Source organism: Homo sapiens, chromosome 4 (genome assembly GCF_000001405.40).
Source record: "Homo sapiens chromosome 4, GRCh38.p14 Primary Assembly".
In the NCBI taxonomy this organism is placed as follows: domain Eukaryota; kingdom Metazoa; phylum Chordata; class Mammalia; order Primates; family Hominidae; genus Homo; species Homo sapiens.
Genome location: NC_000004.12, coordinates 118,563,884 through 118,575,935, shown reverse-complemented (window position 1 = coordinate 118,575,935; position 12,052 = coordinate 118,563,884). Strand labels below are relative to the sequence as shown.

At 43.2% G+C, this 12,052-nt stretch overlaps 1 annotated feature.

The window, feature by feature from the left end:
- Positions 6,060–6,257: a silencer, noted in NCBI's record as "fragment chr4:119490834-119491031 (GRCh37/hg19 assembly coordinates)". NCBI's record gives its function as "represses an EF-1alpha promoter that drives an FKBP-Casp9 reporter gene in an ReSE screen in K562 erythroleukemia cells {active_cell/tissue: K562}" and the evidence as "EXISTENCE:reporter gene assay evidence [ECO:0000049][PMID:32094911]".

Genomic DNA, 12,052 nt, shown 5'->3' with positions numbered 1-12,052 from the left:
CAAATCGAATGTGGGTGTGAGAGAAAAATAGAGACAACGATGACTGTAAGGATTTTGTTTGTTCATTTATTTGCTTACTTGGGTAACTGAAAAAACAAAGTTGGCTTAAGGACCTGAAGACGTTTTTCAAAGAAGACACCAAAATGTCCCACAAGTACATGAAAAGATGTGGAACATCGTGAACCATCAAGGAAATGCAAATCAATACCACAATGAGACAGCACCTTATACATGTCAGGATGGCTACTATAGAAGACAAGCCATGACAAGGGTTGGTAAGGATGTGGAGAAAAGTGAACACTTCTAAGCTGTTAGTGGAAACATAAACTAGTACCCCATTATGGAAAACAATATGGAGCTTCCTCCAAAAATTACAAATAGAACTACCATGAGATCCACCAATCCCACTTCTGATATATATCCACAGGAAACAACATCAGTATCTCAAAGAAATATCTGCACTCCCGTGTCCACGGCAGCACTATTCACAATAGCCAAGGTGTAGAATCAATCTGTCTGTCAACAGATGAATACAGAAAATGGAGTATATATACACAACAGAATAATATTCAGCCTTGAAAGAAGAAAATCCTATCATTTGACACAACATAGATGAGCCCGGAGCACAGTATGTTCAGTGAAATAAAGAGTCAGAGAAAGAAATACTGGGTGACCTCACTCATTTGGAATCTAAAAAAGTCAAACTTAGAAGCAGAGATTAGAGGTGTGGTTGTCAGGGCCTGGGGAGTGAGAGAAATGGAGAGAGGTTGGTCAAATGGTACAAACTTTCAGATAGAAGATAAGTTCTGGAAATCTACTGTACAGCATGGTGTCTATGGTTACTGATTATTATATACTTGAGATTTGCTAAGAGAGAGCAGATCTTAAATGTTCTCACCACACACAGACACACAAAGAAGGTAATTGTACACCAAAAAGTGTCTGAGACAGGCCTTGATCAATTTAGAGGTTCATGTTGCCAAGGTTGAGGATGCACTGGGAAAAAGAAACACAAGTTACCAATCTGTGGCCCATGTGTTTTCCAAAGAGGGTTTTGAAGACTTCAATATTTAAAGGGGAAAGAGCAGCAGGAGGGGAAAAAGGAAAGAAAAGAGTGGGTAGGTAGCCAGATAAGTGGTTATATTCTTGTGAAACTTTCATTAGTGCTTACTGAATTCACATGTTACATGTGAGAGGAGGGTATAGAGGAACAGTCAATTATGCATTCTTGTCATGCTCAGTAAATCTGCATTTTACATAAGATAAAAATAGAGTAGAGAAAGAAGTCAAATATGCATTTGTTTTGGGGTGGGCAGAGGGATGATTTCTAGTCTTGTCTTTGTTCCACACCCGTGAAGATAAGCTGTTAGTTATCTTACATTGTCAGGGTGATCTGGTTTGACTGTGTCCCCATCCTAATCTCATCTTGAATTCCCACATGTTGTGGGAGGGACCTGGTGGAAGGTGATTGAATCATGGGGGCAAGACTTTCCCATGCTATTCTCTTGACAGGGAATAAGTCTCACGAGATCTGATGGTTTTAAAAAGAGGATTTCCCCTGCACAAATTTTCTGTTTGCCTGCTGCCATCCATGTAAGATGTGACTTGTTCCTCCTTGCCTTCACCATGATTGTGAGGCTTCCCCAGCCACGTGGAACTGTAAGTCCAATTAAACCACTTTCTTTTGTAAATTGCCAAGTCTCGGGTGTGTCTTTATCAGCAGCATGAAAATGAACTAATACACAGGGTGAGGGAAGCCACCTGGAGAGGTATGTGGCCTTCTATCCTGCAGCTATGAGTCTAGGAACAAAAGGAAAGCAGGTTTTGTTTTTTGTTGTCATTGTTGTTTTTTGCATGACTCAGCTCCCAAACTTAACTTTTCCCTTTGCCATAGGGGGTTTGAGGTCCCAGAGATTTTATTTTCCTTTCACATAACCACAGAAGGCAAGGGACATCTTAACTCACTTGATTATGGTAATCATTTCACAATATATAAACTTATCAAATCATCACATTGTACCCCTAAAATTTATATAATTGTATTTGTCAGTTATAGCTCAATAAAGCTGGGGGAGAATAGATTTATCAAAAACACATAAAAAAAAAAAGAATGGCATTGCTGTAACTGAGGTGGGGAAGGCTGCAGGTAGAGTGGGCTTGGTGTAAGATGGGAGATCGGGGTTGAATTTAAAACATGGTAAGCCTGAAACATCTATGGGATACACAGGCAGATTCCCATCGCACCCTGGATGAAGTCGGTCTCAACTCGGGTTCTCCCGAGTCACAGAATGTCCCCTGGAGCCAGAGTCAACAGATCCAGGTGGTAATGCCGGCCTTACCACCAAGAAGCTCTGACTGTGGGGAGGTCACTAGCACACTCCATCTCTCCTCATCTGTGTGGTGGGTCAGTAAAACATGCCAACAGAGTTCTTCTGAGCATTCTGTGACATAAGTATATGGCAGCGCTTTGCCTGTTAAAACATAGGATAGAAAATGGCCTGGCTGCTGCTGCTGCGGTTCACGGTAATGGTCTCATCCTCTTGGTCAGCCGGCTGCTTTGGGATGAAACACAACAAAAAGTGGATCAGATTTTCCTAGAGTCTCATGATCCCAGGTATCCAGAAACACAATTTGGAAACACTGAAGTTATTTTTCTTCCTTTGATGTGCTAGTTTTTCATTCTAGCCTACTCCGCTCTGGGCAAATCCCTGTAGAATTCCTTGAGCAACTCCTTTTGCTGACTCAGATAAAATTGGACAGTATGTAATGTCCTGTGACCCTTGCCTGGAAGCGATCCCAGCTGGCTGCCAGGGTTGAGTCCGAGACCCTTAGGACCAGGCTGACCCTGAGGCCTGGAGACTGCCGAGCTCCCTGTTCAATGTCTGGAGAGCAGCGGGCGCAGCTGGTAGCCGGACCCTGCGTGGTTTGGAGCAGCGGGACACTCACTTTGAGACAGACAAACCTGGAAGTGAGCAACCACTTTCCACTTCACTATGTGGCGCATGATGGGTGTTCAGCAACGAATATCAGCCTCCTGTCTTCTCCTGGCCCCGCCCCTGGCTTAGGTGAGTGGTCTGTTTCTGCCAACCGTCTCTGATTTTGGAGTCACGGGAATAGAGCACGGAGCAGCACGTGATTCCCTTCCAGATGTCAGTCCCAACACACCCCAAACGCCTTTTCATTTCTCTCACAAAACATTATGACTGTCATGCGTGGATTGCCTGGGTTCTTTTTTCAAGCAATTCAGCAGGATTACATAGAGCCTCTTGGTGAGGGGATGCCCATACGTTTCCTATTGAAGCATAAAATAATTCTGCCCACTGTTTTATTTAAAAACCCCCTAACTCAAGGCTCCAGGGATTTCCTTTCCTCCTGGTAGCCTGGGGTTTGGTGAACTCATCAGGCTCCCCGCACTTTGGGGTGTGTTCTTCCTCGGTTTCCCCAGATGTGCAGCCAACAGTTGTAACTAGACAGGTGCAGACATGGCCTGTATATTGATATTGACATTTCTAGCAGGTTATCGCAGGTGTTTGTAAGACAGGCTTAGTTATAAGCTTCTCGTTATGATCTTAGAGTCTAAGATAAAAAATATTTTCATGTATTTTTTTGCTTTCTCCAAATCCAGTGAGGGTGAATCATGGCTACTTAGAGAATCCAAAGTTGAAAATCGAGATAAACAATGCAGTTTAGGCCAGGCATGGTGGCTCACGCCTGTAATCCCAGCACTTTGGGAGGCCGAGGAGGGTGGATCACCTGAGGTCAGGAGTTTGAGACTAGCATGGGCAACATGGCGAGACCCAGTTTCTACCAAAACTATGAACGATTAGCTGGGTGTGGTGGTGCACGCCTGTAATCTCAGCTACTTGGGAGGCTGAGGTGAGAGAATCACCTAAGTGAGCCCAGGGAAGTCAAGACTGCAGTGAGCCATGTTCACACCACGGCACTCCTGTCTGGGTGATGGGAGTGAGACCCTGTCTCAAAAAAAAAAAAAAATGCAGTTTAGGCAACATTTTTTCCTAATGAAGCCCTTGCATCATCATTATCCTTATAACACACACTTTTTTTTTTTTTTGAGACGGAGTGTTACTCTGTCACCTAGGCTGGAGTGCAGTGGCGCAATCTCAGCTCACTGCAAGCTCCGCTTCCTGGGTTCACGCCATTCTCCTGCCTCAGCCTCCCGAGTAGCTGGGACTACAGGCGCCAGCCACCACACCCAGCTAATTTTTTGTATTTTTAGTAGAGATGGGGTTTCACCATTCACAAGATGGTCTCAATCTCCTGACTTCGTGATCCGCCCACATCGGCCTCCCAAAGTGCTGGGATTACAGGCGTGAGCCACTGCGCCTGGCCAACACACACTTATAACGTAAAATGTAAAAGGGGAAAAATGCCTTCTTTTTGCTTATTTTATTAAGGATGTAATAACCCTAATGGCCATTCATGAAGAGCATTTTCTCCAAATGCATTGCATTGGGACACTCCCGAGGGACTCTGGAATGGATTTACTGCTTTCTCTGAAAACCAGGACATGGCCTATTTCATACAATATTGTTTGATTCAAACACATAATAACAAAAAATAATAATTTTCAGTGCTAAAAGTCAGCAACCCTGATGTACGGTTTTGCCCCCTGAGTGACGGGAACAACACATGGATTTGTCTTCTCTTGTGTGACTGAAGAAGGGCAGAGCAGTAGGTTTTCATTTCACACAACCCAGGAGATTGCCATTTTCTCAGGATCACCTGATGGCACAAAACTTAGGCCCTGGCTCATACCCTTCGTCCATCTCTTACTCTAGCTATTGCTAGAGCAAGCAGCTTCGAGCAGATGAAACCTCCCAGCACCTCCCCTCTGCTGCCGCATATCTCTTGCATTTTGACACCACAGCATGGAACACCTGCAGCAATCGGCCCAGCACTCACACAAGCATCATCCCAATGCACAAGAGAATTCATGCCCCAAGAACACCCCTTGAAGAATCGGAGCTGGAAATTGATGAATAAAGGTTCCCTCCCTCTTTCAGGCGCACATGCCGTGCATTCTGAAGTCACTCCGTGGCTCATTAGGAGCCCCTGCGCAGTCATGCCCCAGCTGCCTCCAGGAGTGAACAAGCTGAGATTGCACTCCCATTTGCCTTCCTTCCTTCCCTGTGTCACTCTTCCCAATCCCTCTATCTTCTTTTCTGGGAACACTTTCCCAAATTAGAAAATTCTGGAGGCCAATTAAGGCAATAAGCCAGGGAATATGTTATGTAACCGTGTGATGAACTCACAAGAGATACTTGGGGACTTGGAGAAGTCCATTCCCTGTATCTAGGCGAGACCACAGCTAAGTCATTGACCAAAGGAACTTTGTATTAAAACAAACAAACAAACAAACAAAAAAACTTAGAAAAATGGAATTCCAAAATCACCATTAGTAATTCTATTAGGTATTCAGATATTCATTGACTATAAATGTTCCTGAATGCAAAGCAGGAAATACAGAGGTCTGAATGTGGGATGTAAGAACTCGTGTATGTAATTGCATGAGCCAAAGAATAAGCTTAATGGATCTGGGTTCTGTGATTTTGCTCTTTTCAGAAGTGCTAGCTCAGTTTCAGAAAAGAAGTTCAGTGTCATTTTTTTCTTTTTACATGTATCTCCATCAAGTTTATGACAAGTTGATCCAATGATTTACTCTCCTTGATCAGAAATACCAGAAATTCACTCTCAATTTCAGTCCTTTTACTGATTGGCATTCTTTAAACATAATGAAGGGGAAAAGGAAATATATTTCAAAACAGTTTTTAAAAATGTGAAACAATTCAGGCATACAAAAAACACAGAAAATGATAAATTGTGTGGTATACCACCAAGATAAAACAGCTGTTAATATTTTATCTTATTTGCTTCAAACCCATCTTTTCAGTAAACATGCTATTTACTTAATAAACAAAATATTACAGTCCAGCTACTGCCTCACCCAGTGTGCATCACCCTCTCTTTCCCTCCATCCCTGGACATAACTCTATTCAAAAATTAGTGTGTATCGGCGGGGCACAGTGGCTCACATCTGTAATCCCAGCACTTTAGGAGGTCAAGGCAGGTGGATCACTTGAGGTCAGGAGATCGAGACCAGCATGGCCAACATGGTGAAACTCCATCTCTACTAAAAATAAAAAATTAGCTGGGCATGGTGGTGGGTGCGTCTAATCCCAGCTACTCAAGATGCTAAGGCAGGAGAATCGTTTGAACATGGGAGGCAGAGGTTGCAGTGAGCCGAGATTGTGCCACTGCACTCCAGCCTGGGCAACAGGGCGAGACTCCATCTCAAAAAAAAAAAAAAAAAAAAAAAATAGTGTATATCATCCCCACATCTGCTTTCATACTTCTTCTACATAAATATACATCCATAAACAACATATATTAGTCCTCTGCCTTCTAGTTTTTGTTGCTGTTAAGAAGCCTAGTTGAAGTTCTTGGTAAATAACCTTTCAATCACCTGACTTAATATTGTAAACAGAGAAGCAGATTTTTATTAATGTCTCATCAAAAGTAAGTTTTTCACCAGGAATATGCTTGTGAATGCAACATAAACATTTATAAATCTACCATTCATCAGTTTTCTTTCCTGATGGGAATAGTGAAAGAAAATAGAATTCATCAGAACTCCTGTGCCTCTTTGGCACAAACTTATAGCAATACGATAAATAGCAAGTACACCTATGTGTGAAGTCTTACCATAAAAAACAAACTTGATCAACTGTGCCAGAGGAAAGACTGAGTATCTTTCTCTTCTCTCCATGGAAAATGATATTACAAAATTTTCATCACATGTTGGGGCCAGCAAAGAGAATATAGCCAGATGATACAGGAAATGACATTTCTCAAAAGAAGACATACAAATGGCCAATAGGTATATGAAAAAAAAAAAAGTTCAACATCACTAATCAAAGAAATGCAAAGTAAAACCACAATAATATATCACCACATACCTGTTAGAATGGCTATTATCAAAAAGACGAAAGACAGCAAGTGTTGGAGAGGATGTGGAGATGATTTATATTTATAAGTTTGTATAGTTATTTATATTTCAACACTATTGCTGGAAATATAAATGACTACAGTCCTTATGCAAAACAGTATGGGGATACTTCGAAAAATTCAAAATAGAACTGCCATGCTACAATAATCCCACTACTGGGTATCTATCCAAAGGAAATGAAATCAGTACGTTGAAGAGATATCTGCACTCCCATGTTCATTGCAGCACTATTCACAATAGCCAAGATATGGAAGCATCCTAAGTGTCCAGCAGCAGATGAGTGGATAAAGACAATGTGGGATGTATGGCATATATACACAGTGGAATGCTATTCATCCTTAAAAAAAGGAAATTCCGTCATTTGTGACAACATGGATGAACCTGGAGGATATTATGCTAAGTCAGATAAGCCAAGCACAAAAAGACAAATACCGCATGATCTCATTTATGTGTTGTAACCAAACCCAGGTTCAGGTACTCACCAAAAGTCAAACATGAGATACAAGAGTTGGTGGGACAGGCTGGGTGTGGTGACTCATGCCTGTAATCCCAGCACTTTGGGAGGCTGAGGCGAGTGGATCACTTGAGGTCAGGAGTTCGAGACCAGCCTGACCAACATGATGAAACCCCGTCTCTACTAAAAATACAAAATTAGTCAGGCATGGTTGCACGTGCCTGTAATCCCAGATGCTTGGGAGGCTGAGGCAGAAGAATTGCTTGAACCTGGGAGGTGGAGGTTGCAGCAAGCCAAGAGATCAGATCTTGCCATTGCACTCCAGACTGGGCAACAACAAGAGCTAAACTCTATCTCGAAAAAAAAAAAGCGTTGGTGGGACAAAAGCCAGGTTTGTTCAGAGAGCCAGTAAACCAAGAGGATAATAGCATCCTAAAGTGCCACCTTAAGTCAGGATAAATTTCAGTCTCTTTTTCTGTTAAGAGCAGAAGGAAGAGGAGGGGCATGAGATCAATAGGTGACTGTTGACCACAGACATCTGGGTGCCAGTAAGGGTCCTAGAAGGTGGGGAAAGTCTTAGCTTTTGGTCAGGTCACAATGCTCCTATAAATCTTTTTATTTTTTATTGTTAATAGGATCTTGGTCTGTCACTCAGGCTGGAATGCAGGGGCATGATCATGGCTCACTGCAGCCTCAAGTTCCTGGGCTCAAGCAATCCTCCTGCCTCAGTCCCAGTGGCCGGAACTATAGGTACACGCCACCAGGTGTGGCTAATTTTTCCATTTTTTTGTAAATATGGGGTCTCACTATGTTGCCCAGACTGGTCTTGAACTCCTGGACTCAAGTGATCCTTCCACCCAAAGTGCTGGGAGTATAGGTGTGAGCCACTGTGCCCCACTCCTATAAATCTTTAACAAAATGTAGTTTACATACTTCTCCTTTAATCTCAGATGGCTGTTTTTGTGTTTTATCTTGTGCTCTAAAATTATCCTAGCCTATATGCTGGAATGGGTGAAGGCCCCTTAAACAATAATGGAGTTAGTTATGTTCTTTTGCTGTTTCACTGTTATACAATGTGAAATCTAAAAATGTCGATTGCATGGAAACAGAGTAGAGTGGTGGTTACCAGGGGCTGGGTGGCTGGGGAGATGTTGGTTAACGGATGCAAAATTTCAGTGAAATAGAAGAAATAAGTTCAAGAGGTCTATTGTAAAACATGGTGACTCTGGTTAATAACAATATATTGAGCTGGGCGTGGTGGCTCACACCTGTAATCCCAGCACTTTGGGAGGCTGATGCGGGCAGATCACCTGAGGTCAGGAGTTCGAGACCAACCTGTCCAACATGGCAAAACTGGGTCTCTACTGGAAAAAAAAAAAAATACGAAAATTATCCAGGCATGATGGCGCGTGTCTGTAATCCCAGTTACTTGGGAGGCCGAGGCAAGAGAATCGCTTGAACTTGGGAAGTGGAGGTTGTATTGAGCAGAGATCGGGCCATTACACTCCAGACTGGGTGACAGAGTAAGACTGCGTCTCAAAAAAAAAAAAAAAAAAAAAAAGCCAACATGATTGTATTCTTAAAAATTGCTAAGAGTAGATTTTAAATGCTTGAACTACAAAAACATGAAAAGTATGTGAGGTAAGGCATATGTTAATTAGCTCAATTTAATAACCATTCTACAATATACACATATTTCAAAACAACATGTTGCCAACAATATACAGAATTTTAATTTGTCAATTGAAAATAAAATTTTTTAAACCCAGGAAAAATTGTAGAGGTTTATTTTTCCTGGATTTGGTGATGTTGTGGCTTTTCTCCCCCCAGCTTCTTGAAATTTTTGGTTTGTTGTGACTTCTAGTCTCTTTCTAAATATTCACTTTACTGCCAAATTTTGTATTCATACTTTTGTATTCTTTGTCTTTTAAATGGCTTCCTAAATGGTATACATCATCAGGCCCTCAAAATGTGCTCCACCTGCTTTGAACCACAAAACCCCTGGGGATCCTAATCCAAACAGCTTCCACCCTCCCCAGCACTCTCTCGCTTGCTGTGCAGGCTTTCTGCGAATGCTCCAGGCACGCAAAGGAAGGAAGCCAAATGCTCCAAGCTGCTCGGTGTCTGACTCCTGGAGCCGCAGCTCCCATGACTTTGTAAAGGGCATGCACCCTGCAGGGCATGTGCCCCAAGCACCAGGGGTTCCTCCTACTCTCTTGGCTTTCGAAAATGAGGCAGCAGGAAGTGATGGAGAGCGCTGTGGTCATCAAATGTGGATGAAGTTAAAATTCGTTAACCAAATGCAAACACTTCGGGGAGTGAAAGTGGGGCACTATTCATTTTTTTTTTTTAAGTCAGGCTCTCACTCTTGCCTCAGCTAGAATGTAATGATGTGATCAGGGCTCATTGCAGACTGGACCTCCCAGCTCAGGTGATTCTCCCACTTCAGCCTCCTAAGTAGCTGGGACTACAAGTGTGTAACAACATACCCAGCTAATTTTTTTGTATTTTTTGTAGACACGGGTTTTCACCATGTTGCCCAGGCTAGTCTCAAAGTCCTAGACTCAAGTGATCTGGATGCCTAGACACCCCCCCCAACAATGTTGGTGTTAGTGGTGTGAGCCACCTTGCCTGGCCTTCATTTGCAAGATTGTCCCAAAGGAAGTGACCTTGGCTGAAACCCTGGCTCTGCTTCCTCTGGCCGTGGGGCGAGAAGTAAATAACCAAATCTGCCTGGGCTTGTTTCCTCACCCCAAAAAATGGCAGTAAGAGCTGCCTCACAGGCCAGGTACAGTGGTGCACATCTGTCATCCAAGCAATTTGGGAGGCCAAGGCATGAGGATTGCTTGAGCTCCAGAGTTTGAGACCAGCCTGGGCTCATAGTGAGATCCCATAGTGAGATCCCACCTCTACAAAAATCAAATTAGATGGGCATGGTGTTTCATGCCTGTAGTCCCAGCTACTTGGAAGCTGAGGTGAGAGGATTATTTGAGCCCAGGAAGGTGGAGGCTACAGTGAGCTATGATCACCCCACTGCACTCCAGCCTGGGTGGCAGAGCCAGATCCTGTCTCTGAAGAAAAAGAAAAAAAGAAAAAAGAAAAAGAACAAAAAACATCAGTATTTTGTTAAAGGTTAAGGTTAGATTACCTAGATATAGGCTCTCTTTCTCTCCACATATATCTGTATATCTATCTACACACACACATATATATTTAGAGCTATGTATATATACACAGAGAGAGGTATAGCTATAGATAGATCTATATAAATATATATAAACAGCTAACTCTCTTTACATATGGATATATATATTTATGTATCAATCCACAATACATAAACTTGGATATGCACAAAATATCACATTTTCTCTAAACCAGCTTAATTTTTATTTCAAACTCCCCTTCACAGCAGACTGGGAAGATGCTTGAATTCAATCTTTTCGAGGTATCCCACTGCCCCCTCCGAGTATGCTACAAACTCCCACATGGTGTCAAGCTCTGCACAGGAGTTACCTTGGAGAGCCTGTTGTCCCGGGAGCCTGACCCGTGAGTCCTAGGGGTCCCTGCTGCTTCCATGTGGACATCAAGTCAAGGGGCCTCTTTCCCAGGCTGCCCGAAGCCCCAGCTGCCCAGGCACACTCTGCTGCAGCTTTTCCTCAGGACGTTGTCTCCCCAGTGGCTCTGCGGTGACCTCTCTGGGGACCTAGGATCCTCATTTTTTAGTGTGGAAGTAATCCTTTCTTCACATCCAGCTAAGACATTCTATCAAAGCGTGAGAATCTGCTTCCTTTTCATTTCTCTTAAAAAAATCATATACATTCTAGGCTGGGCGCGGTGGCTCATGCCTGTAATCCCAGCACTTTGGGAGGCTAAGGCAGGCAGATCACGAGGTCAGGAGATCGAGACCATGCTGGCCAACATGGTGAAACTCCGTGTCTACTAAAATACAAAAAATTAGCCAGGTGTGGTGGTGCATGCCTGTAGTCCCAGCTACTTGGGAGACTGAGGCAAGGGAATCGCTTGAACCCTGGAGGCAGAGGTTGCAGTGAGCCGAGACCACACCACTGCACTCCAGTCTGGCGACAGAGTGAGACTCCATCTCAAAAAAAGTCATATACATTCTATTAACCGTGTTGGTCCTGAAAATCTCAAAACCAGAGTGAACTGCAGTGGGTTTTGCTTTCTACCCTGCCACATCTCTCCTCGCAGTGTGTGAGCAATTGGGTTGGCCAAAGGGAGAAATATGGGGAAAACAAACTTTCACGATACTGCACTGGCCACACGGCACCTGCCGTAACGAAGGGGTTCGGTAAGTGTTTGGCCCTTTTCCTGGAAATGATACCATAATCACCAGGATATACTGATCCAGCCTGAATCACTGGCAGCCTTTACGTGGGCAGAAGTGAAATGAGCAAAACATTATGGTGAAGCAATAGGACTGAACATTTCTGGGAGAAGCAGCTGAAAGAAGAATAACTTCTGGACGAAAGAGTGAACACCTGGGGAGTCACCCATTAAGCAGAACAGGAAGAGAGGCAGAATTACTGACAAAGAGCTAACAAAACATTTTT